The 27,642-nt window shown below is 47.9% G+C and overlaps 1 protein-coding gene across 16 annotated transcripts in view, besides 1 other annotated feature; it reads left to right on the forward strand.

Annotated features, from left to right (window-relative positions):
- Positions 1-27,642, forward strand: part of CNIH3 (cornichon family AMPA receptor auxiliary protein 3) — a 305,915-nt gene that overhangs the window by 190,748 nt on the left and 87,525 nt on the right. The window lies entirely within an intron of this gene.
- Positions 11,996-12,638: an enhancer, noted in NCBI's record as "H3K27ac-H3K4me1 hESC enhancer chr1:224825085-224825727 (GRCh37/hg19 assembly coordinates)". NCBI's record gives its function as "activates a minimal SCP1, AML or CMV promoter by ChIP-STARR-seq in primed H9 embryonic stem cells {active_cell/tissue: H9 hESC(primed)}" and the evidence as "EXISTENCE:reporter gene assay evidence [ECO:0000049][PMID:30033119]".

The raw sequence follows: 27,642 nt of genomic DNA on the forward strand, positions 1-27,642 counted from the left end.
AAATAAAATAAAAAAAAAATTAGCCAGGCGTGGTGGTGGGCGCCTATAGTCCCAGCTACTCGGGATGCTGAGGCAGGGGAATGGTGTGAACCCAGGAGACAGAGCTGGCAGTGAGCTGAGATGGCGCCACTGCACTCCAGCCTGGGCGACAGAGCGAGACTCCGTCTCAAAAGAAAAAAAGCACATTTTTGGGCTCTGCTGAAGGCCCATGGAATCCTAGACTTGGTAGCTCTCTCTGTGTAAGGGAGGCTAACTGAGCTTCAATCCAGAATTAAGTGGAGGGGAGATGGTGGATGGGATAGATCAGGGTGGTTGAAGGTGTGGAGGAGGGCACTGCTGGGGAGAGGTTGTGAACAACAGACACCAAAGAAGACGAGCTGTGACAGGAAAGGGCTGTCAGATGGTGACTGTAGCCCAGCAACCCATGTCTATGCCCAAAAGCAGAGGATGATGTCGAGGCTGATGCAGGGGGCTGCACGCTAGTCTCTCCAACATCACGTATGTTGATTTTGTGCTTCAAGATAGCGATCCCACTGCTATCTTGTAATACCCATTTTTTTTTTAATCATAGATTGTGAAATACACCTTTCTTCCATCCTTTGACAACTAGGTGTAGATAGTCCCCTTGTGGGTTAGATAAGGCAGATATTAAATTCCAGGCTGAAATCCTTGCCATTCACATTGCTTCTGAGTTGCTTCTTCTTCTAGGACCTGGAGGGTCTTTAGAAAAATAAGCTGAACTGTTTTAATCTAGAGAAGAAGCATTAAGTGAGCTCTGCTACAAATAGTGAGGTCATTTGCATGAGTAACCAACTCAGATCTGCAGGGTTGGAAGTGGTTGCTGTTTGGGATCATTCATAGCCAGAGTGTCTGCATCTTAACAGGGTTAGCTGAGGGTTGCCTGCATTTCTTAATGACACTTGGAATCTGCTTAACTCCCACAAACTGGTCACTGAAAACTCTAAATGCACAGCTAGATCCTGAACTGGTTTCTGAATACAAATCCAGGGCATAATGATCAGACTCGCAAATATTTTTAATTTGGCATAGAAAGAGAAGCAAACAGGGACATTCTTGCATATGCTAAAATAAAGCCCAAACAAAAAACTAAAAAATATATCTAAAGATTAGGCTGATAGACTGTAATGGGGCCACCACCATTTCTGTGTGCACAGTGTCCTGGGCATTAAAAGACTTGAGAATCTTGGTTAAGATGATCCCTGCTCTAGGGCATGGGGATTGAAGACTAATCTTGAGGTCTCATGGGATCGACATAAACTGCCTGTAGGATAACGTCCAAACCGCTCAATTTGGGGTTGGAAGCCTATTACAACATAGCATTGACCTACCTCTCCAGCCGGTCTCCCACAACTCCCCATCTCACAGCCCCAACCCCACAGGTAGACTTTATTGCACCGTAGATATGTCTATTTATTCTTTCTACAAGCAGAGCCTTCTTGCCTCTTGGATCTAAGTTTTCCATGTGCTGTCACTGACGAGCCTGGGTCTCATCATCAGCAACTCTGCTCACTCCAACCTACCACAGGCTCCTACAACCTGGCAAACTTGTGTGGGTTGTTTGTTCTTCTCCAGGTACAAACCTGTGTTCTTACACACTTCTGTGTGCCTGTGCCTGGACTTTCTAAGTGAAGCAGGGGTGGATGGAGAACAGGGCTCTTGGTGTCCAATATATGTGTTCACGGGACTTAGGAGGACATGGTGGACACGTGTTGAGCGCATGACTGATGGTGGCTCTCAGACTGACCATGAAAGCAGAAAAAAGTCACCTCTTTGGTAGCCTCATTCTGGCTTATGAACCCAGAAGCTTGTGGGTCTCATTCTTTTTTTTGTTGTTTTGAGACGAGGTCTGGCTCTGTCACCCAGGCTGGAGTGCAGTGATGTGATCTCGGCTCACTGCAACCTCTGCCCCCGGGTTCAAGCAATTCTCCTGCCTCAGCCTCCTGAATAGCTGGGATTACAGGCACGTGCCACCACACCCAGCTAATTTTTGTATTTTTAGTAGAGACGGGGTTTCACCATGTTGTTCAGGCTGGTCTCGAACTTCTGACCTTGTGATCCTCCCGCCTCGGTCTCCCAAAGTGCTGGGATTACAGGCGTGAGCCACCGCACCTGGCCTGTGGGTCTCATTCTTTTGAAGAAAAGAGGGAGCCTGTGACTTTGGGGACAGTGGTGGCTGGCTGCAGGAGCCACGTCTGGCTAGGATGGTATGTCTGGCAGTGTGCAGTGGGTCCTGTGTACACTAGCAGACCCGTGGGGACTGAGGCCCGCTCCTGCAGTCTGCTCTGTGACTCTGGAAGGGGAGTCAATGCGCTGCCATCTCGGACCCACGAGTCAGTCTGATAATGAGGCTCAGGGGCCCGGGGTGCTGTTGTCAGAGGGAATGGCTTCTCTCTCCAGGGGGCTGCCTGCTTTCTGCCACTGCCACGATGGGCCTTGGCACTCCTGCTTGGGACACGGGCTCTGAGAACAGAACCTTTCATCACCACCTGAGTCTCAGAGGCCATTGTCTTGAAAGAATGATTAGATTACTCCAGCCGAAGGATTGATACAGGCCCTGTTGCTGGTCAGCAAATGGAGGGCAGGGGCTGTCTCTTTTACCTCTGCCTCTGGAATGTGTATAGGCACTAATTGAGTTTGAATCAGACTGGGTATTTCTGTTCAGACTCTATTGTTTAATAGTCTAGCCCAGATCTAGACTTAGCCCACCCTGTCAAGTTATTCATTTTCTCTAGTTCTATCCTGCTTCTACGCTTCGCTCAACTGTCTCTGTATTCGCCGGCTACCTGAGAGCAAAAGGGATCTCACCCTACCCTGCAGTTTCTACTTGGGGCTCAGTCTGGCTCCCTTAACTTAAAAAAATTTGTTGTAAAATACGTATATGACATTTACTTTTTTTAAACCGTTTTTAAGTGTACAGCTTAATGGCACTAAGTGCATTCACATTGTTTTATAACCATCACCACCATCCATCTCCAGAACTTTTTCCCCTTCCCAAACAGAAACTCTGTGCCCATTAAACAGTAGCTCCCCATTCTCTCCTCCCCAAGCCCCTGGCCACCACCATTCTACCTTGTCCCTCTAAACTGATCTACTTCTAGACACCACATATAAGTGGAATCATACAGTATTTGTCCTGCTGTGATTGGCTTTTTTTACTCAGCATAATGTCTTCAAGGTTCATCATATTGTAGCCTGTGTCAGCATTTCTCTCCTTTTTAAGGTTGAGTAATAGTCTGTAAACCAAAAATAAAACTCAAAGGCCCCCCACGCCCAACCATCTGAATGGGCTCCCTCCCTGGCCAGGGCACTCGAAAGTTAACCTGAAAGGCTGGTTTAGGCCATGAGGGGAAGGGAGGTGGGACATGTGTCATTATGCCCTCCTCCCTTTTGGAATTCAGGAAACACCAACTAGCATTTAACATCAACACAGACCTTAAGTCTGATAAGCAATATTTACAGTCTGTTCTCTCTGAAGCCTGCTACCTGTCAATCAGAAAAAATTTAAATCTACCCAGGACCTGGAACTCCCCCCCAACCACCTGCCACCCCCACTTTGAGTTGTCCCGCCTTTCTGGACTGAAGCAATGTATATCTGTTTTTTTTCTTTTCACCCCCCGAGACAGAATCTTGCTCTGTCACCCAGGCTGGAGTGCAGTGGCGTGATCTCGGCTCACTGCAACCTCTGCCTCCCGGGTTCAAGCAATTCTCCTGCCTCAGCCTCCTGAGTAGCTGGGATTACAGGTACATGCCACCATGCCTGGCTAATTTTTTTGTATTTTTAATAGAGACAGGGTTTCACCATGTTGGCCAGGGTGGTCTTGAACTCCTGAACCCATGATCTGCCCACCTCAGCCTCCCAAAGTGCTGGGATTACAGGCGTGTGCCACCATGCCCGGCTGCAATGTATATCTTAAATGTATTTGATTGATAACCTCATGTCTCCCTAAAATATGTAAAACGAAGTTGCACCCTGACCACCTTGGGCACATGTTCTCAGGATCTCCTGAGGGCTGTGTCATGGGCCACGGCACTCATATTTGGCTCAGAATAAATCTCTTCAAATATTTTACAGAGTTTGACTCTTTCTGTCGACAGTTCCGTTGTATGGATAGACTGCATTTTGTTCACCCCTTTGTCGACGAACACTGGGTTGCTTCCACCTTTTGGCTACAGTGGATAATGCTGCTGTGAATGTGGGTGTACGAGCATCCAGGGCTTGAGTCCCTGCCTCTAGTTCTCTTGTGTATGTATTCAGAGGTGGAATTGCTGGATCAAGTGTTTAATGTTTAATTTTTTGTGGCTCCTGTGATATTACAGGCAGAAACTCTTGGTCCTCAGTCTTTGCTGCACAGACTCTGCTCTTTCTTGACCCTCTGGCCCCTGATGGTTGCTGTCTCTCTGCTGTCCTCTCTCGGCTGGAGCAACAGCAGGACCCACTTCATGCATTTGCTTAAGTATCTGGTCTGTTTTACTACATTTCTTAGAAACTTCACGTCTTATAAGTGAACAAAATAGTTATAAAATCTTTATTCAAGGTTTTGCATTAAGGTCTAGTTGTGAGAAGTTATAAATGGTCCTTAAACCGATATTTTATTGAAGACAACTCTTGGGCTTTGCCAGGGAGTTTGCCTCATGATTACAGTTGTTTCTTCCAGAGGATTTCACCAGGAAGAGAGTAGCGGTGTTTCCCATGATTTTAAGGCTGTGAATGTTTTTGGCTTTGCGAGAACTGAGGAATGCACCTGCCATTAAGCACAAAGGGCATCTTGCCAAGAATTTTGTTATTGTTCATTAAAACCTTATTTGCATTTCTGCTCTCAGATCAGTGCAAAGGGTTAGCACATCTGTGGTTGAGGAGGAGAGAGTGTGGACCAGGCGGCCTTACCTGTGCTGCAGAGGAGCTGAAGTCTTACACTTCCATATTTGCCCCTAAGCTGGGGGTTGTTGGGGGCATGGAAATGAAGTAGGTTGTTAGCTCACTGGGAGACAATTTGGGGGATGATTTATTTTTTAATGTTTTTCAGCTGCCTTGAGTCACAAACGTGATTTAAAAAACAACCAGATTTGTAAAAAGGTAGTTTCTCTCTCACACATGTACACAATTACCACCGCAACAAAAAATTCCATAGCAATGCACATCCCACACTTACCTGGCCATATATTTTGTGGAGGATAGAATTTGCTTTTCTTCTTCCTCCTGGGGTAAGGGTGGGAGGTGGAGAATGCTTATGGGCCCATTTGCAGTTAGCACTCTTTGGGCTGAATGCCTTAGTGGGAACAATTAATCACACATTTATTCAACCATCATTTGCTTCTCACCATCCAGAGGCTTCTGGCCAAGGGCTCCCAACTCTGTTTTTGTGGGTGCTTGTGAGTGTAATTAACACCTGAAACTGCCTTCAGGTGAGTGAGGTGGGTGGTTTCTGCCCTTGGGGTATGCTGTCTGGCCAGAATGGAGCTGTAATTTCTGATCCTTTGCAGTGTCTGTAAAAACCGAATCCCAGCGCTTCGGGAGGCTGGGGCAGGCGGATCATGAGGTCAAGAGATTGAGACCAGCCTGGCCAACATGGTGAAGCCCCATCTCTACTAAAAATAGAAAAATTAGCCGGGCGTGGTGGTGCGTGCCTGTCATCCCAGCTACTCGGGAGGCTGAGGCAGGAGAATCACTTGAACCCAGGAGGTGGAGGTTGGTTGCGGTGAGCTGAGATTGTGTCACTGCACTCTATCCTGGGCGACAGAGTGAGACTCCACCTCAAACAACAACAACAACAACAAAACCAAAGGTGCATGCTCAGGACATGGGGATGACAGAATGACCCACTGATTCCCTTTTCACTGGATCCCTTTCATCCTAGCAAGGGAGGAATGGCAGGCCATGCCACCGTGAATCCACCTAGCGTTCCTCTCCATTCATCAGCTTTCCCATTCATATTCTTTCAAGGTTTTGGTTTCCAATTTGAACTCAGCTCCCACCACTAATCAGTGGCTTCTCTGGGCAACCTGGCTGGTTCAGAAGTCTGTGGTTGTTGGTGAGTCCCTGGCATTAGGGATTTCCCAGCCCTTGGGTATTCATTCTTTCTTTTCTCTCATTTCTTTTTCCCTCTTGTTCATCTTCCCTTCTTTCTCCCTCTTTCTCTTTTGCCCTCCTTTTATTCCTTTTCTTGTGCATACATCTTAGATCTGTGGAGGCTACACAATATTACTTAGCTTAGCTGGTGGGCCCTAGGGCTGGGAAGTAAGCTGACACCACCTCCCACCTCCACAGCGTCTCAAACCGTGGGCTGACATTTCCAGAGCATCAGTCTTAGGTATATTTTCTGGTTTTGTGTTCGCATGGTCCATTTTGACTCCGGGATGTATCTCTCCTGCTGGGGAAAAATGCAGGGGAGGAAAGCAGAGTCTTGGCACTAACTACTTCTTTTTTTTCTTATTGGCAACTGATTCATGAACTCTAAAAAAAGAGTTGATAGCAACATAGCCAGCTAGCTGTAGCAGCCCAGATGGTCCCCTATATAATAGAGACATTTGTATCTTGGATTAAAAAAAATTTAACTGTGTTCTGTGAACGTTTTTAAGAAAAAGGAATTAGTAACTGCATTCCAGAGTTGTGGCTATGGAAATAGCCAAATGATTAAGTAGATCCCCGGCATGCAAAGAGTAGGAGATAGGACTTGGGAGGTCCAGGGCCAGGAAATAAGGGGAGACACATTGCGAGGGCACTGCCCTGCGTTGTCCATAAGTCTGAGATAACCCACTCTCGAATGGGGCGCAGGGAGAGAGGTTCTGTTTGAACACATGTGCATGTGGATGTGGATGAGGAGCTACATATCCGGGCCTCTATGTCTCCCTATGGCTACTGCAAACTGGAAGCCTTTAGAGCAGGTATAGGCAGACCAGGGTGGAAGAGAACACATTGTGTCAATAGCTTCTAAATTCTACACTGAACAGATACCTAGGTTATCCTGCTTCCTTTCTCTGTGGTCATTGGGAATTGGTACAGGCCACATTCTGCTACAGTGAATCCCATATCTAGCAGAATCTCATTGTTATTGTCTTATGTCATCAGCATGCCTTTGGGTGTAGCTTGAAAGTCCTTGTCCAATGGGGTTCTAATTGCAGTGGTCATGTCACAAGAGGATTGGGTAGGGGGCAGGTCTGGGAAGGGATTTGGAAGAGCCACTGGGACGCAATATGTGAGAGCGGGGTGGGGTGGTGAGGAGAGGTGGGCTCCCAGATCATGTGAAATCATCTGGAGCTGGGAACTGGCCCAGATGCTGTGGGATTTCAAGCCACTTGGTCATTACGAGATCATGACTTATCCTGGAATAATTTTTCTTACAGGTTCCGGAGAGTGATAAGAGAATTGAGCCGAGGCCAGCCAAGCATATGTGCTGACTGGAGGAAAATGTGTTCAGTTTTGACATCCTTTCCTCTTATTGGTTGGCAGTTTTAGTACCAAAAGTCATGCCCTAGAAAGGGGCTGGCAGCGAATGGGGCTGGTGGTGCTGCTGAGGGGCACTCCTTAGCAAACCTCCCTGCATCCCCCTGGACCTTTTGTTTCCTTGTGTGTGAAATGAAGGAGCTCAACAAAGTGACATCTAAGATCCTACCAGTCCCCAAATGCTGTGGTCCTCTATTGCTTGCTCCCTGCCCCTTATTCTTTTGTCTTTCTCCTGTCGTGGTTTGTCTCTTGATAGGCTTCCTGGGTATGAGGTGTCAGGTTTCTCAGTAAGGAATGTATCAGTTAAGATTTTTTTTTCTTTTTTTTGAGACACGTTCTTGCTCTGTCCACCAGGCTGGAATGCAGTGGCGCGATCTCTGTTCACTGCAACTTCTGCCTCCCAGGTTCAAGCGATTCTCCCGTCTCAGCCCGCCAAGTAGCTGGGACCACAGGCACCCACCACCACGCCCAGCAAAGTTTTGTATTTTTTGTAGAGATGGGGTTTTGCCACGTTGCCCAGGCTGATCTTGAATTCCTGGGCTCAAGTGATCCGCCTGTCTCGGCCTCCCAAAGTGCTGGGCTTACAGGCATGAGCCACCAGGCCTGGCAGTTAAGATTCTTAGAAATCAGTTCTGGTCATCGTAACCAAAAAAGGAATTTATGGGAAGGGAATTGGAGTACTCATAAAATGGATGGAAAGTCCAGAAAACAAGGCTTCAAACAATAGAATAGCCAGATTTCGATCTCTGTCCTTGAATCACTCTGAATGTCTAAGGCTGAGCTTGGGTGAGTGCTGCCCGTTGGCTGTACACAGTGGGAACTAGAAGTATGGCAGGGTCTCCAGGCATCCTTTTAATCTCTCCAGTGGAAGGGTGGGCCTCTAGATTATCCCCCCACCAGGACTGCACTCAGTGGGAGAATTCTCCAGAGGAAATCAGACTGGTGTGGAAGTGTGGCATAAATGTGGGTGACCAAAAAATGCCAGATAATCACTGCTTCGGCTCTTTGGTTTAATTTTTTAGCTTGTCACCTCGCCTGTATTCAGGGAAAGCAAGATTTTCTCTAAAGTCAAGATTAACTTCTTGGTGCCACAGACTCTTTGATGTGTTATCCATGTGAGCTGCAGAAAAACATCTTATTTCTCTTCCTTCTCAGCTTGATGAGGAGCAGCTGTGGTCTGGTGGGGAGGATGGATTTGCTGGACTTGTGGCCCTGAACATGCTTCCCTGCAAGGGGATGACTACCCACCGCCCCTTAGGAAAATCTCCACTTCTCATGAAAACGTCCCCTGGCCGTGGAGGCAGTGCAGCATGCTTCCGTGGCACGTGTTCGTCCTTCTGAGCCTGCAGCTTTCACAGCATCCACTTGGATGAGGGCTTTGCAGGACTTTAGCAGAGCATGTGCTCACTTGGAAGGAACAGCAGTTGTGTGAATTAAGAATAAGAAAAAAGAGGCCGGGCGTGGTGGCTCACGCACTTTGGGAGGCTGAGGTGGGTGGATCATGAGGTCAGGTGTTCGAGATGAGCCTGGCCAACATAGTGAAACCCCGTCTCTACTAAAAGTACAAAAATTAGCTGGGCATGGTGGCACGCGCCTGTAGTCCCAGCTACTCAGGAGGCTGAGGCAGGAGAATTGCTTGAAACTGGGAGGTGGATGGAGGTTGCAGTGAGCCGAGATTGTGCCACGGCACTCCAGCCTGGGCAACAGATTGAGACTCTGTCTCCAAAAAAAAAAATAAAAAAAAAAAGGTTTTTTGCTAGCTTGGTGTCTCCCAGTCAGTGCAGGCCCAAATTCTAGAGGATAAATGGTAAAGTGAAACCTAGCTCTTCCTTTCCTTTTCTTCTTACTGTCCCCCATGGAGCATAAGCCCTTGCCTCGCAACTCACTCCTCTTCCTAAGAAATGCCCCCCTGCCCAGTTACCCTGCATCTGTTCTGTGTTGAGCAGAGGTGTTCAATTTCACGTCCCCGATTCACACCAAGCCTCGGCCCTACCTGCACCACTTAATATGCCCCGCTGCATCCCCGCCAGGAGCTGCTAGCTCATAATTAGCAAAGTTGGCAGTTTTCAGCACTGTTCAGAGTATAAGTTGTTTTGCTCCATAAATGGGAGGCAGCATCCGTTGTCTCACAAGGGGTGTGTTAGTTCATTTTCACACTGCTATAAAGAACTACCTGAGACTGGGTAATTTATAAAGAACAGGTTTAATTGACTCACAGTTCTGCATGGCTGGAGAGGCCTCAGGAAACTTATAATCATGGCAGAAGGTAAGGGGAAGCAAGGGACATCTTACATGGTGGTAGGACAGAGAATGGCGGGGGTCGGGGGGAACTGCCCTAAACACTTTTAAACCATCAGATCTTGTGAGATCTCACTCACTATCATGAGAACAGCATGGGGGAATCTGCACCCATGATCCAATCACCTCCCACCAGGCCCCTCCCACGACACTTGGGGATTACTATTCGAGATGAGATTTGGGTGGGGACACACAGCCAAACCCTACCAAGGGGAGAGGTGATATTATGGCTCAAAGCTATGCTGTGTGCTGGCACCTCTGTTAAAATGAGTTTCTTAAAGAAGCCAAATAAAGTTTGGTGTGGCAAGATTATTAAAATCAACAGAGAAATGACTGTAGGAACAGCAAGCATTTTCAAGAAGTGAGTCCTGCTGAGCAACAGGGAGGAAAATAAAGTGCCGGGGGCTGTGCTAGGACAGGGATGCTGACTCAGACCTCACAGCACAGCCGAGCCGGCCTCGGCCTTGGACATGAGCAGTCAGCCCACAGCATGCAAAAGTTTGGTTGTTTCTGAGACCTACTTCTTAGCTTAGTCCATATATTTCTTCACTTTTTCCTCCCTTCCTTCGTTAGAGACAGGGTCTCACTTTGTTGCCTGGGCTAGAGAGCAGTGGTGTAATCATAGCTCACTCTCACCTTGAACTCCTGGGCTCAACTGGGCTCAAGCATTCCTCCTGCCTCAGCTTTCTGAGTAGCTGGGATTACAGGTGTGTGCCACCACACCTGGCTCATTTTTTTTTCTTTCTAGAAATGGGGGGGTCTCACTCCGTTGCCCACGTTGATCTTGAACTCCTGGCTTCAAGTGATCCTCCTGCCTTGGCCTCCCAAAGCACTGGGATTACTGCGTGAACCCTCTTTTTTATATCAAAATACCAAGTGGAATGTTTCGTTTAAGAAAACAAAAATCAACAATACAGCAAGCCAAAACCCAAGACAGTAAAACGTCTGGGGTCAAGGGCTTAACCAGGAGCAGCTGTGGCACCCCGTTGTTAGAAGTGTTGGTTGCTCTGTGTTGGTGCACCAGGTCTTAGCTGATGGCACCATCCTTCTGGTAATGGGGTTGGGTTGGGTGAGTTCGGTTTACCATTTGCATATTTGTTTTCTTTTAATTTGACTACATTGATGAAAGAGGGATACAGTCATGTAATCACATAGTCCTGGAATCCTGACACCTGAAGGGACCTAAGATCACCTGGTTCTGTCGTCTCATTTGGAAATGAGGATACTTTAACCTAGAGAGGTAAAGTGACTTGGTCGAGATCACAGCCTATTCAGGACGAAGCCCGGAGGGGAATTCTGCTTCCTAATTACCAGACCAGTGTCCAGTCCCAGGAGCTTACATCAGACAAGCTAGTGTGCTTTATAGCAACATCAATAAAGAACAAAAACTTGATCTTTTTGAGCTATGCTGTGTGCCAGCACCTCTGTTAAAATGAGTTCCTTTAAGGAGCCAAATAAAGTTTGATGTGGCAAAGTTGTTAAAGGAGTCAAGTAAAGTTTGGTGTAGTTACTTGATCTTTACAGCTGTGTGTACTTAGTATTCCTACTTCCTCCACAACTCCTAATTGGATTTTGTGGCATTGGTTGTTTTCTGGATGGGCTGAAGGAGAAAGACGTTGATTGAATTAAAAAAAGCGGTACACATATAATATTCAGCCAATCTCCATATTTAAGATATTGCTTAGCCCTGAGGAAGATGTGAATTAGAAGGTTGCTTTAAGATTTTTATTTATCTATCATCTATCTATCTACAGTATCTAATCTATTATCTGTCTATCATCTATCTGTCTTTGAGAGATGCATTCTTTTTTTTTTTTTTTTTGAGATGGAGTCTCGCATGGTCACCTGGGCTGGAGTGCAGTGGCGTGATCTTGGCTCACTGCAACCTCCGCCTCCCGGGTTCAAGCGATTCTCCTGCCTCAGCCTCCCGACTAGCTGGGATTACAGGCATGTGCTACCACGCCTGGCTAATTTTTTTTGTATTTTTAGTAGAGACGGGGTTTCACTATGTTGGCCAGGCTGGTCTCGAACTCCTGACCTCCTGATCCACCCACCTCAGCCTCCCAAAGTGCTGGGATTACAGGCGTGAACCACCACGCCCAGCGAGAGATGCTTTCTTTACTTGTGAGCAGATATTTCCATCTGCGAGGTCCCCGCACACACATGCAGCCCTAATTCAGAGTTGTGAGACAGGCAATGTGCTGCACCTGGATGCCAGTCTCCAACCCACCCTCCCCACCCCCCAAGTTAGTTCTCCTGTCTCTGGGTTGCATTCTCTTACTGCCAAACAAGGGGCAAAACAGTTGCTTCAGCCTCCTGATGTTCTGAGTTGGCGGGGTCACCCTCTCCTGCCTCAACATAGCAAGATGAAGATCGTGTATTTTCAGGAGCTGTTTAGTACTGGCCCCTTGACTTGCCTTCAGAAGATCTTTGTTAACCACCAACAAAACCACACCCTTTCTCCCTTTGTCATAGTGTTGTCTGGCTCAGTACAGTCTCACAGGAACGGATCATGAACAAGGTAATGGCTGGCTTATTACCAAGTGGCCAGTTGCGGTCTTGTTGCTCACATAGTTAGCATGTTATGAATGTCACCAGCCGCTCAGCTGGGCGGAGGCAGAGCTCTGTGGTGCTGTCTTCTTGGGTGGCCTCTTGAGGCCCTTTCTATCCTCTCAGTGATCCCTTGGCCAGTCAACATCATCTGTCTGCACCCCACACCCCCAGTCCCCCTGTCTGGCACTCCCTCTCTGCCAGTGGCACCTGCCACCCTTGCCTTGTGGAAGACAGATTTGCTGTGGCTTCAATGCTTTTAAAATTGATGAATAAGAAAAGTAAAATGAAGCAAATGGGCATTTCCTGTTTATAATGTCTCCAATATAGAAAGCCTGCTTTTGAGTGTAACTGAAATATTTCCTGCCCTAACAATAAAAGAAAGAAAAGGCTCATGCAGCGAGATGGAAGAACGCCTTGCGGCTGTGCATGTGAGCAGGTGCCAACATCCTAGAGACTGGGTAGGGCTAGCCTGCACCTTCCGCTCCAGATTCCTTAGTGGCTGACCCGGCCCTTGGATGGCTTTACAGCCTGCGCACCCAGGGGGAGGCCGGGCAGTGTCAGCAGAGGATTCAGGTGAAGAGTTGAACACCATGGGGAGATTCCCAAGGGACAAGGATGTTGACAGGGTTTTGGCCCAGCGCCTGCCTCCAGCATCAGCCTTTTTCAGGGGCCTCCGGAAGGCTCTGTGGATACCCCCGAGTCCCTCCCACCAGGATTTGCATCCTGACAGGTGGATTCTCTTGTAGTTCATTCTTCCCCATGCCATGTCAGACCTGAGCTTCTGAATTTGGGCTCTAGAACTCTCCTCTGGCTTGCCTTTCCTGACTTTACCAGCGGTGCCGTAACATTCTGGGCCCCAGTTTCCTGCTCTGTAAAAGGAGGGGTGGCAGGGTTAGTGGTTCCCATAGCTGGCACATCCCTAGATGTTATCTCTCAGGAAGGCTTACGTGGGTTCAGGACTCTGAATTTTTAGCTCCCAAGTGATTAGAACATGCAGGTAGCATTAGGAAGCTTCAGGAAGCACTGGCCACGGGATCTCTCCAACATTCCATGATACTCCGTCTTATCTTCTCATGATCCTGCTCTAGGACCTCACATTAAATGAAGTTCATCACCTTGTCAATACTTTATACTTGGTGTCACCTCTGTACCTGTAACATGCCATTATTTATTTTATTTGCAGTTCTACTTTTTACCAGTCCATATTTCCAATTTCCTTCCTCCTCCAGGAAGTTTCTCATGATTTGCTTCTTACCTGCCAGTTTCCCTTTTGACTGGAGTCTCCTGTACATCCTTAAGGTGATATGTATCTCTTGCTGTGGAAAGTGAGCCTTTCTGTTTTGCTCAGGAAATGTATTCTTATGGTTGTTTGGTCTGCAAATTCTCTTTCCCCAATAGGAAGGTAAATTCCCAAGTAGCCTTCTCCCCTCCCAGCAAGGACCCCAGGGTCATGGGAGGCTCAGTACATACTATTGACCTTTGAGCTCTCTCTTCCATAGGAAATTGGCAGACACTGCCTAGCATTCTCTTCAAGTGGATTTTCAAGTACAAGAAGCCCCATTACCTGATGATGATGTGATTCAGACCTGGATGGGGTCCTCATGTCCCCCTCGTACTTCAGGCCTTGAAGGAGATTGGCTGAAAAGGAGAAAGACCTGGTGTCTGTCTTGTGAGCCCTCTTAGGGGCCTGCGGGCCCCACCTTCTCAAGCTTGAAAATAATGGAAAGTCTTGAGTTCCTTCAAGGAAAATTCCAAGTACCTAGCTAGCCTTGAAAAGTAAAGGAACAGCGTGATAAGCAAGAAGGTGATAATAGCTTAAAACAATAGCCAAGGAAATTAGAGCCAGAACATGTTTGGTTCCCTGTAGAAACTAAAGATAACATCTTAACATATGTCCCTGAGTTGTTTTTCAGAAACCTGGACCCCTACCAGATGGAAAATGGAAAATGCCATCACTGGCAGGTAGACCTCAGATAAGGGGGAACTGAGGACTGAACTCTGTCTGTCATTCTTTGTTCTAAATTTCTTCCTGAGGGCCTGGAGGGAAATCATGCCACAGGCCAGAGCTTAACATTCCTTTCTGCTGACCGCCAATATTATACCCTTTCTGCTGACCCCAAGATTATAGAGAAAGCCTGGCTTCCTTAACCCGATTGCAGATCAGAGAATCTTTAAATCCACTGATGACCCATAAGACTCCAAGATATCCCACCTTTTGAGGCCGTAACGATGTATCACCTCCATGTATTGAGTTATGATTTTGCCTGTAACTTCTGTTTTCCTGACATGTACCCCTGCCTTTAAAAACTCTTGCCTGTAAACTGTAGATAAGGCCAGGTCTTGAGCGTGAGCTGCCCAGTTTTCCTTGCTTGGTGCCTTGCAAATAAATGCCCTTCTTTCTCCCACTGCAAAACCTCCGTGTGGATGTGAGGTTTTACTGTGCTGGGCAAGTGGATTCCAGTTCAGTAACACCTTTCCATTTCCTCTCGCTATTCATGTGTGTGTGTGTGCAAACATGACAGGACACTCTCTGCTCTGTGACAGTGAGTGTATGCTCTTTCACCAGCCTCCGCCACCTCTCTGAGCGGCACTTTTCTCATCTGGGTGGCTGGGCAGGTAACAGAACAGCCCCTTTCAGCTCTTGTGCTGTAGAGACGCTGTGACTCCCTCTTCATTCCTCACTGCTCCCAGCCCTTCAACAACAGTTGCCCTGAGAGGCAATTTGAAGCAAGATGCTTAGAAAAGCCCTTTCTTTGCAGAGGAGGTTGGTGTCAAGTTTGGAGAAGGCACATGCGATCTTAGGTGATTCAGAGCTTAGCAGACTCTCAGACCCTTTTGTGTCTCTCCTTTTCTGCGATCTGAATAATTTATTTACTCCTCAGCATCACCGCTTTCTCTTCTAGCTATTCTCTGCTCATTAGTTTCTGTGCCCAGTGTCTGTGCAGGCAGGGGCTGGAGGAGCAAGTGAAGTGAAAAGCCCTTCACCGGCTCTCTGGCTGCTGTGTTGTGAACTGGTGGGGTGTCATGGCAGAGCCAAACCCAGAGATAAGATGTTTGGGAGATAACAAGGGATCTCTGCCACCATCTGCCAAGATTCCCCTTGTGTGTGTCACCCCTGAGACATGGCTGAGTGGTCGTTAAGGGGCAGGGGCTGTTCGGGGCAGGCTGCAAGCCAGCTGCTTGTTGTGTTCTAAGCAGCAGATCTAAAGGTGAGGGAGGAAGGAGCACTTGATTGTGAGCAAGTGTGGAGGTGATGTGTTTCTGGGAAAGAGTTGACATTCAGCAAAGATTATACCGTATTCTTTTACTTTGCATGTGCTATATTTGCTTCTGTGATCAGGCAAGTGCAATTCCTCAGGGGCTCTGAGGTTCATTTTCAGTATAATTGGGATGTGAAGACGCTGTGATTGGAGTCTTCGGCATGGTAGCAGAGGGACCCAGGGGAGATGCCTGGGCTAAGCCTCCTCGGCATACATCGGCACTACCCTGCTGCTGCCCTGAGCTGCAGCACCTGCTGTACAGCAAGAGGTTTAGCCCCACCTGCCGGGGAGGGGAAGAGAAGTTTCCCTTCTGAGGGAATGCTCCTCCTTGCCCACCAGTCAATTCCCGGGGAACAGTGCCTAAGCTTGACATGTATGACTGGGCTGGGAACCCTCCCCTCCATCCTTCCCCACCTGGACTCTTTGGATTCCCCACTTTTATTCACGGATGCCCTCTTCATCCCAGGCACCCAGGTGCAACGCCCTGGGGTCATCTCCAGAGAACTCTTCTTCTGGAGAATCGGGGTCTGGTTTGTACCTTCCAGCTATTGCTTCCCATTCCAGTCACCAGCCCAGCCCAGACCCTGAAGAGAGCCAGGAACTTCCAGCCCTGGGACAAATCAACATCCTGGTGTCTGAGTGGACGACGTTGCTAAGAGCACAAATGCTGCAGGTGTGGCCTCTGCCTAGGCAGCTCTAGCTGGACTCCAGGTTCTATTTTGGGCACTGGTGCACTTCTCAAAGGAAGATCGGCCAACTCTCAGAGGATGCGGCCTCTACCCACAACACACTTCCTTTTTTCTTTGTCATGTTCTGATTCCTTAGCATCTGTGTCATAGGATCTAGGATCGGGATAATGGCTTGCAACCATGTCAAAAATTTTCCTGGTGCTCCCAGGCCCCCACCTTGGAAACTCAAGTTGTATTTGTAAAACTAGTGAAAACCATTGGTTTGTTCCTCATGCATTCAGGGTATTCCTTGAACAGAAGTTTGCACACTTCAGCATGTGCATGTGAATCACCAGAAAACATCTCCAAAATTCAGACTGTAATTCCTGCCCTTAGGATTCTGGTTTGGGAGGGCTGGTTATGCTCCGTTTGGACATAACAAGATTTGTTACATGGTATTTTACTTATTTGCTATTTTGTTCAAGGATGTGAAGGATGGGTACCACCATAGTAACAGCTGATATTGATTGAATATTTGCTGTATCAGGCACTGTTCTTACTGTAACAACTCATTTAATTTTCCCAGTGTTCTATTATGCAGATACTGTTTTTTTTCCTTGAGGGTAGGGTCTTGCTCTGTCTCCCAGGCTGGAGTACAGTGGTGCGATTATGGCTCACTGCAGCCTCAAAGCCCTGGGCTCAAGTGATTCTTCTGCCTCAGCCTCCTGAAAGCTGGGACTACAGGCATATGCCACCATATCTAGCTAATTTTTTATTTTTCGTAAAGACAGGAATCTCCCTATGTTACCCAGGCTGTTCTCGAACTCCTGGCCTCTAACAATCCACCTGCCTTGGCCTCTCAAAGTGCTGGGATTGTCGGTGTGAGCCGCTGTACCTGGCTGTAGCTATGATGGTGTCTGTTTTTCAGATTAGGAAGCGGAGGCACAGGGAGTAAATGGCTGAGCCCGGACTGATTCCAGGCAGTCTCACCCCAGAGCATGGCTCCTTACCACTGTGCTCCTCTACCTTTCTGCTGTATATTCTGGGTGACTCAAGCTCTCTGTGCTCTGTAGGTAGAGATTTTATTTTATTTTATTTAAGAGAATGCTTTGCGTTTCTGATTTCTCATTGTCTTAGAACTGCACATATATCAGAGAGGCTGTTATGAAAGAAAACCCACACATATCTGGGTCTTGCATCTCTGCATCGAAAGCATGGTCTTATGAAGTAAGATGCGAGAGAGCTAGGCAGGGGGAACAGTTGGGACACTGTGAACTGTTGGTGCTCTGAGCTGTAAACTCTCCGGAGAGAGCTCTAAAGGAGAGTGCATTGTATCTGAACATGCAGGCCAAGGTGTGGTTCTCCTCCGAGATTCCTAAAGGGTCCTCCATTTCTGCCTGTGTCAACCAGCTAAGATCTGGCAGTGTGGACACATCTGCGGCCCTTCTGTGGCCTTGTTGATGGTCGAGGCGTGTGTTTGGAGTGTATGCACTTTGGTATTCACTTTGTATTCCTGTCCTCAAATGCACCTGCTTATTTCACAACTATCAAATACCTGCCGAGGATCCTGGGCCCTGGGAATAGGGGGAGAAATAAAACGAGGCCTGCTCTGAAGGAGGTGGTAGTCGACTAGAGAAAACAAATGTAGAATGAGAAATTACACTCCAGTACGGTGGTTTCTGTGTCTACAGTGCATTTTATTTGCAGCATCTTTTGGACATCGGTTCCAGTCACATCTACATGAGGCTCATCTAGATTTAAGGAAACTAGGGAAAATGCAGCGAGGTGTTAGTGTAACCACACTGGCCTGCTTTGGCCCCGCAGCCCAGTCGGCTTGTCTGGAGAGACCCTGGTGGGACAGTGAGTGGGTCATGAAGGCAAGGCCTGACGTGGTGGGTCTGGTGTGTGAGGAGAGAGCCTGCCTTCATGGAGGCCGGGCAGCCTCCCTTCTGTTGTGGGACTTTTCCTTAGTTCAGCTAAAGATGGGATCCTCGTCACACAGCCACAGAAAATTACACTCAGAGACAGTTTGAAGGGTGAGAATAATGGGATTTATTGGGCAAAAAGGAAAAAAAGTGGGGAACAGGGACTCAGCAGAACGAGAGTCCTTCTAGTATAGGCTTCCCGCCTCATGGATGAAATCCCAGGTTCTACCCAGGAAGAGGAGGGGCCGGACTCCTTCCTGCTGCAAATGACAGGAACTTCTGAGGCTCCACCCCATGGTGCATTCCTCCCAGTTCGCAGGTTGGCTGGAGTTTCTCTGGGGACCCCTTCCTACCTGGCTGTCTCACTGCTGTGGCTCAGACCAGTTGAGGCCATCCTGGCGTTTCTGAGACTGGAAGTTGGGGGTTGGCAGCAACCCTGGTGGATCTAGTGGGGTATTAGAATTGTAGTAGAGGCCAAGTGACCTTGGGGACCTCTTAGACTGAAAGCTTCATGAAGTCAGGGACCGAGTGGGGCTTGTCCATAGCCCTTGCTCCAGCACCTCAGCAGGGCCTGCACATTCAACGCATGCTTGGTGACTGAATGTGTTGAATGCCTTGGGGAGTGCTCCCTTCGGCCTTTGTTACAAGCATGTTGTTTGTTTTTGTTTTTGTTTTGAGACAGTGTCTCACTCTGTCTTCCAGGCTGGAGTGCAGTGGCACAGTCATGGCTCACTGCAGCCTTGACCTCCTGGGCTTTAGCAATCCTCCTACCTTAACCTTCCGAGTAGCTGGGACTACAGGGGTGTGCCTCCACGCCCAGCTAATTTTTGTATTTTTTGTAGATCTCTAGTGGATGATTCCCCATCCAAGGTGGCAGCTATGGAGCTAGACTACAGGATATCGGGGAGTGTGGGGTTGGACCAGGTGATGTCTGAGGCGATGTCTGGCTCTAATATTATGCCTGGCATGCAGCAGGATGTATTTGTTGAATTAAACAAATTCTACAAATCAAGGGAGCAAAAAAGCATCCCTATGACCCTTATACCTTTAGCTTTGTTTTCATCCATTCTTAAATTTCTCCTGGCTGCCGCAAGCAGATGACTGTCCTTTATCCCACAGATACCTGACTGCTGTATGCCAAACAATTTTTTTCTTCCACCAAGCTGTAATGCTCAACCGTTGCCACTAGAGGGCTGAGGTTTTGCACACTGGTGGTGCTGAAGACGCCTCCAAGTTCAAAGGTCTTCTGAGATACCCAGAGAGGCTCAGGCAAATGCCAGTGCTGGAAACTTGCTTAAGCGTAAGCAGCCAAGTGCATGCACCTCCACTGAGCTGGGGGCACTGGAGAAGGACAGTGGCTTCTGTACTGCTAACAGACCCCATGCAGGTAGTGGCTGAGATCTCTGTGTGGCCAACTAAGGACTGTGGAAGCATTTCACACCCTGGGTGAGGATGGTTATGGAAGGCAATAGAGGCTGCCTCACCACTGGGAGTGGCGAACAGTGTGAATCTCTGCTGGCCTTCTCTTTGAGTGCTGGGCATCTTTTATTTCAGTTTTACAGATGCAGAAATACACAAGAGGGAGTCAGGTCTCTACCAAGGAAAAACTGTATGCTTACCTTATGCCTCTCCCTACCGTGTTTGATCAGTTCTCTCTCTCTCCTCCCACCACCTCCCCACTGCCCTGCTCTGCCCCCTCTCTCCTATGTTACTTTCTTGGGTCTTGCCCTGTTTGGTGTCTGGCCATTACTTGGTGCTGCAGAGGAGACTCAGCCCCCAAGAGGCGGTACACTCACCTCTTGAAGGGCAATCCCCAGAGAAGCGCGAGAGAGACCTGGCTTGGCCTCCTTTCTCCTGCGCCTCTGTTCAGCGTTGTACTGGATTGCACGCGTGTTACAGAGCGTGCTGTGGAAGATGCTGAGCCAGCGGTGCCGAGCGTTTCCAGCCCTCTGAAGGCAGGGCCACGCAGCTCCCCATCACGTGGTGACACTCCCTCTGTGCTCCTGATGTGCTTATTTCCAAAATATGGTGGGTGGTGAGGTTTAGGCCCTGTTCCAATTCAGGGTAACATGTGGAGCAGGCTCAGCCCGGAAGGCTGTGCTATGGCAGCAGGTGCAGCACTCATTGTGGCCAGCGGATATTCACATCTGTTGGAGCCTAGAAACCTAAAGAAAAGCACATCCAAGCTCCAGTCATTTCCACCACTCCCTACTGCCATTCCCCACCCCATAACATGGAGGAATTTATGTTGCAGTACATTTTCTTTCTCTGGCCATCTCGCTCCAAGGGAATTAATAAGGACCAAATGGCCAAAGGGCAGGAAGCAGTGGGGAGATGCAGTGGAGAAGCATGGCCCATGTTTAATTTATAGATCAGATCATCTCTTCCCCTTGGCAGTATGCAGGCTATTTTGGGCATTGTGCTGGGTAGCCCTTTAGGGAATCCAGTTGTATTTAATTATATTCATATTTATTGAGCACCCATTGATCAGTCACAGCAAGCACATAATTATATGTGTTATAAAGAGTTAGATAAAGGCCCAGTCCTCGATCTCACGGTCTAAGATAGTAACTCTAACGTAAGACAGCAGAGGTTTTCAGTGGAGGTTCAATTCAAGGTCACGTTTGATTGGAGACATCACAGAGAGGTGGCACTTATATGGGCCTAACAGCATTTTGACAGATGAAGAGAAAGACAGAGGGATTAGTTCTGCCAACCTAAAGAAAGAACTGAGGCAACGTTAATACAGACAGTTTATCTGAGCCAAGGTTGAGGACAGCTGCCCGGGACACAATTCCAAGTTGCCTTGGGGAGTGCTCCCTTTGGCCTTTGTTACAAGCATGTTGTTTGTTTGTTTTTGTTTTTGTTTTGAGACGGTGTCTCACTCTGTCTTCCAGGCTGGAGTGCAGTGGCACAGTCGTGGCTCACTGCAGCCTTGACCTCCTGGGCTTTAGCAATCCTCCTACCTTAACCTCCCGAGTAGCTGGGACTACAGAGGTGTGCCTCCACGCCCAGCTAATTTTTGTATTTTTTGTAGAGACAGGGTCTTGCTCTGTTACCCAAGCTGGTCTCCAATTCCTGGACTCAAGCAACCCTCCTGCTTCGGCATCCTAAATTACTGGGATTACAGGCATGAGCCACCATGTCCAGTCTATTACAAGCAGGTTTTTAAAGGCAAAAGGGGACAAGGCTGAGCCAATACAAAGTTGTTTGACAGGAGTTCTCACCGGTTGACAGAAATAATATTTGTTAGTGATTGGCCCTACACTGGTGAACTATAGAGTATGAGTGCTGGTGTCCAGTGTGTGACATTTTATGACAATCTGGTGTCAGTTAGCCTAGAGCCCATATAGCATGTGGCCTCAAGAGGAAATGATTTAGCTCAAGAGAGGAATGAGACATGACTGCTGTCACACACATGGCCCCGTCACTTTTTTATTTTTATTTTTTTGAGACAGAGTCTTGCTCTGTCATGCAAGCCAGGGCGCAGTGGTGCAGTCTCGGCTCGCTGCAACCTCCACCTCCTGGGTCCAAGCGATTCTCCTGCTTCAGCCTCCTGAGTGGGGTTACAGGCACCCGCCGCCACACCCAGCTCACGTCTGTATTTTTAGTAGAGACAGGGTTTTACCATGTTGGCCAGGCTGGTCTTGAACTCCTGGCCTCAAGTGATCCGCTTGCTTCGGCATCCCAAAGTGCCGTAATTATAGGCGTGAGGCACTGTGCCCGTCCTACAGTCACATTTCAGTGCCTCTCTGGGCTTGATAATTAAAGGGGGCTTGAATTCCTCCGATAAAAAGTTTATTCTTCAGACCAAATAGTGAGGGTGTCTTGTGGAAAACCCTGAAGTAGTCTGGCTTGCTTGTCCATGGAGGTGGAACAGGAGTGTCTGACCACCCCCCTGCCTGGGCCTGGGTGTCGGGGTGGAGACTGGGGATGGGCAGAAGCTGGGACATCACTCACTGCCAGGGACTGGGTTCTGTGTGGCCAAGGCTGTGGCGGGAAATTATTACCTGAGACCAGATGTTCATGATGAGAACCAAAGCAGTGAACTGGGTTAGGGCCCTGTGGAGAAAGTGAAGCCTGGAAACTTGGGAGAATGTGTGTTAACCCCACTTCTAGAGAGGACAGAGGCTGGGACAGAGCCAAGGATGTGTGGCTGGGTGGCACAGGGGGAAGAGAAGGTGGGCTGGGAGCCAGCAGGGCAGAGGGAAGGGAAGGACAGCAGCTGTGGTTCCCAGATCAGCATAAGGAACCTGCAGGCACAGGGGCCCTGGTGTAAGGAGCCTGCAGGCACAGGGGCTGAGTGGGCCAGGTGGCTGGACAGATAGTGGCAGGTCGGTAAGAACAGAGTTAAAACTCAGCCAGGCTTTGGAACTGTTCTATCTTAGGGTACTGGTTACGGGAACGGGCAGGAATTTTTGGAGACATATACTGATGAATTCTGTTTCGGGCATGTTGAGGTTCTGGAGGAACCTGGGATGGAAACTGGATCTGGAGCTGGGGAGAGAGTGAAGAACCAGCCATGTCCAGGAGGGAGTGAAGCAGGCTAGAAATGGTAGTGGGCGGCTGGGCGCAGTGGCTCACGCCTGTAATCCCAACACTTTGGGATTCTTACCAAGACCCCGAGGCGGGTGGATCACCTGAGGTCAGGAGTTTGAGACCAGCCTGGCCAACATGGTGAAACCCTGTCTCTATTAAAATACAAAAATTAGCTGGGTGTGGTGGCGGGTACCTGTAATCCCAGCTACTAGGGACGCTGAGGCAGGAGAATCGCTCAAACCCAGGAGGCAGAGGTTGCAGTGAGCTGAGGTCATGCCACTGCACTCCAGCCTGGGTGACAGAGCCAGACTCTGTCTCAGGAAAAAAAAAAAAAAAAGAAAAGAAAATGGTAATGAGACCTGTGGGAAGGGATGAGTTTACCAAAGAAAAGAGCACAAAGGGAGAATATTTTCTGCTCATTTACTCATACATTAAATGTCTGTTTCGTGCCAGGTACTGTAATAGGCATTCTTCATTCTTCAGAGTCATTTAGGAGCAAAGCACACTGTTTGGGCTTGGGGAGTTTGCATATTGAGGCGAGGTTAGAGAAGGATATTGGAATACCGATTTTGCCTTGGCCCAATTACTTCCCCCCATGATGTTTCTGAAGATGGTGTAGACATAAGGAACAACCTGTAAGGCCTTATGAATATCTTGGTGCACAGTGACCCTGCCCATCAGTAAGCAAGATCTAGTCTGCAGTCAGATTAGTAACTATTCCTTCCTGGTAGGACAAGAGCAAAAGGAGGTTCTCAGCCCTGCTACAAGCATGAGCTCCAACTACCACTACAAAATCCCCCTTAGCAGAGAGGGAAATGGAAGACCCAGAAGGTATGATTTATCCTGAGTTGTGAAGAATCTACCACCCTTTGTTCCCAGAATTTCTTCCTTTCTGAATCCCTGGCTTCTTCAGCCAGCCCATCAGTGGTGGCTCCTTCCTTATTTATGGGGCTCACCAGTTGCACTGGGCAGACTGAGGGACCCCCAAAGATGTTCATGTCCTAATCCTTGGAACCTGAGACTGTTACATCTGGAAAGTCCCTTCTGCCATATAAGGTGATTAAGTCAAGGGTCTCGAGATGGGGAGATTATCCTGAATTATCTGGGTATAGCCATTGTAATCACAGAGGTCTTTATAGGTGGCAGAGGGAGGCAGGAGAGACAGAGGAAGAGATGTGACATCAGAAGCAGAGGTCAGGAAATGCCGGTGGTCTCCGAGAGCTGGAAAAGGCAAGGAAATGGCTTCTGCCCTAGGGCTTCCAGAAGGAAGTAAGCCCTGCTGACACCTTGATTTTAGCCCTCCAAGACCCATTTTGGACTTCTGACCTCTAGAACTGTAGGATAATAAACTGTGTTGCTTTGAATTACTAAATTTGTGGTAATTTATTATAGCAGCAGTAGGAACTAATACTATAATGTATACCTAATTTCCAGCACAGAGCCTGTTACACAATAGGTGCTCAGTTTAATTTATTGGATGAATTATGAATTCTATATTTAACTCTAACCCCCAAGTAGGGCTCTCTACAGTGGTTTTTGAAATCTACTTGGCTTCATTTGGATAGTTAGAAACTTGGGGAAAACTTTGCCCGAGGAAAGAAATCCCAGCGGTTCCTCCTCTGTAAATTGCAAAATGATCCATTTTCCAGCCCGGTCCACCAAATGCAGGGTCTGCCTGGGAAGTATTTACACCTGTGAGGATGGCTTTATTGCTTTGCATCTAGCTTGCTCTTCACTGCTTGTATAATCTCTCTGTTGTAAATCCAAATCGAGGAGAATGTGTGCAAGCTTAAACAGCCAGGCAGAAAGACAACTGCACTAAATTGTTGTTCTTAACAGAATCTTAGAGGTCTCTGAAATGGCAGAAATCTTAGAGGTCTTTGAAATAGCAGGAACTTAGAAATAGCAAGCTGTGGTTTCTGCTTTCAGGGATGGTAGGTGTTATGCACAATTATCTACAAAAATGCTCTTCCTCAGGCACGAAGTGTTGTGTGTCAAGTGCAAGAGCTGAAGTTCTGCATTATACACAACCTAAGTGTCCTAAAAGTGACTAATTCTCTTAACTAGTGACCACACTCTTAACTAGCTTTTGAGGCTGGGGAGCATCTTCAGGGGTGGCTTGGGAGACTGGATAACCTATTCCAGGCTAAGGATGGAACCTCCACTGTGAAGACTGAGGAGTATGGGGCCAGGGCGCTCTCTGCCTAAGGAGCATTTTTCCACGGGATACAAGTTTCTCTGGACTCGATCAAGCAGGGAGGCTGAGTACATACTTCCTGGAGGTTGCACAAACTAACCAATTTGATTTTAAATATTAATACTTGGAGTAAGGCTTCTGGAGGCCAACATGCAAATTTATGTAAAAGAATGTGCAAATGAACACCAGAGCCAAGTGCCTGGCTCTGTTCCCTCACACAGGATAGCAGCCCCTGACCTGGCTGACCTTGTGTTTAGTTCTGTTCTTGGCTCTGGGACTTTGGGGCTGTTGTGTTGGCAAAACTTGGTGGGGGTGGAGGGGTGGGCAGTGGAGGGAAGGACTGCTCCAATTTAAACACCCGCAACAACAAAAGTTGTTTTAGCAAATTGGCATGCTGTTCATAAACGGCTTTCTATGTGCGCGAGGATATAGAGGCTTTATAAACTCTCTTTTTGGGAGTAAAAGTCAGGAAAGATTCATCAGAACCCAGCTCCTGAGAGGATGACAGGGGAGAAGACTCCTTGGGTCTCTGGTGGAGCCCCCTGTTGTTGCTGCTGGAATTCAGGCAAAGCTCCTCACAAGGTAAAGATCTGGATTCCTTGGGCAAGGGAAAATGAGCTGAGTACAGAGCCCAGGTGCTCAGCGTGGACACTGGCTTGATGGGGTCTTTTGGAGCAAGTCCTCAGTTTTCTGTGTGGTTGTTCACATGGGGAGGCTCAGTTTTCCAGTAGATGGTGGGCTGGAGTGAAAGTGAGAAACAGAAAGAGGGACATGGACACACACACACACACGCACAAACACACACCCAAGCCCCAGTGAACATCGAGCCCAGTGCAGTGAGCAGCAGTTTCTATGATGTAGTTAATTTAGTGGGAAGTAGTGAGTTTGTAGTGACCATAGAGTTAGAAAAGCAGGGAAATAAAAAAGAAAACAATGGTAAAATAGTATGGGGAGTATTTTCCTGATTATGGGAAAAAACATCACTTGTGCAGTGCAGGAATAAGGAAACTACGTAGTGGTCACCTCTGTTAGCGTTCTGGTGACTGTACTTTCATGTGTCTTTTTACGGGCACACACGTAATTTTACATAGTTGATAAGGGATTACATCACACATTCTGGTTTTCTTTACCATCACTTTAAAAAAGTTGCAGTTTTTGTTGCTGTCATTGCTTAACCCTTTCCTCCAGCCACTGTCCCCTCCATTCTCAGGGTTGCCGGTGTTAGCAACCTGGTGTATATCCTTCATTTGTTTCTTCGTGTTCGTGTCATCTTACATAAACACTAATGCTTTTTAGAGTGTGTCTTGATTTTGGTTTTGCATCTCTGCATCTTGCTTTTCTCACTGAATAATGGCTCATGGAGTCCCTCTGAGTTAATCGGTAAAGGTCTAACTCAGAACTGCGTAATATTCCAGATTTAGATGTGTCACTGTTTATTCAATCATGCTTTTATTGACTGGACTTTATGTGTTTCTAGTTTTTTGTGATCTCAGACAGTACCTGGGCATATATTCTTACCTAGTGGTGTCTATTTCAATGGGATAAATCCTCAGGGAATTGCTAAGTGAAGGATATGTGTATTTTCGTTAATAATAGATATTATTAGATTGCTTTCCAAAGGCTTTATCAGTTCACATTTTCACCAGCCATGGGTGGGGGCTCCTTTTTCCCTGCTTCCTCAACAGTAACTTATCACAAAATTTTTTTCAATCCATTAGGTGTAAAATGATACCTCCTTGTCACCCTTGTCACACTCCTTAGCCAACCAGTGAGGGTGAGAAACTTTCATAACATTATTGACCTGTTGGATATTCTTGCAAAGCAGGAATATTGGCCTGGGATTTCGACCTGGGATTTCTGGGTTTTGAGGGATGGCAGGTAATGGGCCTTGTGACTTCACCCAGACCCTTCTTTCCTGTGTGCTGCCTCTGGCCAGAGGCATGACCAGATGGGAGCAAGCAGATCTATATGGCGAACTGGGGTAACTTTAACATTCCTGGACTGGGACTGGACATAAGGTGGGGGAGTATAACCTGGCTACATTCCAAACAGGCTATGGAGTGGTCTGTGCACAAGAGCTAACAGGTTTGATGAGTTGAGCAGGCAGGACTCAGACCTAGCGGTAGGGAAGTGCTATTGAAAGTTTGGTTGGCAGAAGTGTCCGTTCCAAGCAGTGAATCAGCTTGCCGTCAGCTGGACTCTAGCCAGTTGATTAGTGTAGGAAGAAAGGAAGTGAGGGAAGAAGAAGGGACTTAAGGCCCCTTAGGAGAGGGGTAGGCAAGAGCTAAGTGGAGCGTCGGGCCCCTGATAGGTGTTCCAGGTATGGCGAGCCAGTCCTCTACTGTGTGGGTGGCTGGGGATGTAGCCTGGCTGCACACACCACATCAACGTAGAAGGAGCAGGAAGGACAGCAAGGGGGCTCCACAGATGCCCAGGGCTCATTTCTGGACTTCCAGAAACCAAGCCCATGGAAGCAAAACTAAATCCAGGTTGCACGAATTGGTGGGGCTGAGGCTGCTAATGGGTTTCTGTCCCTGGTGAGGGTTGGCGCAGCACACGTGGGCTTCTTCTCTCTGCCTAAGCCCACATGTGAGGGTCTCAGCAGCTCTAGCTGCACAGGTGTTCAGAGGGTGAAGGTATTGGGAACACAGCAGGAGCACAACTCACTGGAAATTCCCAGCTGGAGGAAGGCCACCGGAAGGCCAGCTGGAGGAAGGGGGCACATTTTGTGCCAGCCCTG

Source organism: Homo sapiens, chromosome 1 (assembly GCF_000001405.40).
Source record: "Homo sapiens chromosome 1, GRCh38.p14 Primary Assembly".
In the NCBI taxonomy this organism is placed as follows: Eukaryota; Metazoa; Chordata; class Mammalia; order Primates; family Hominidae; genus Homo; species Homo sapiens.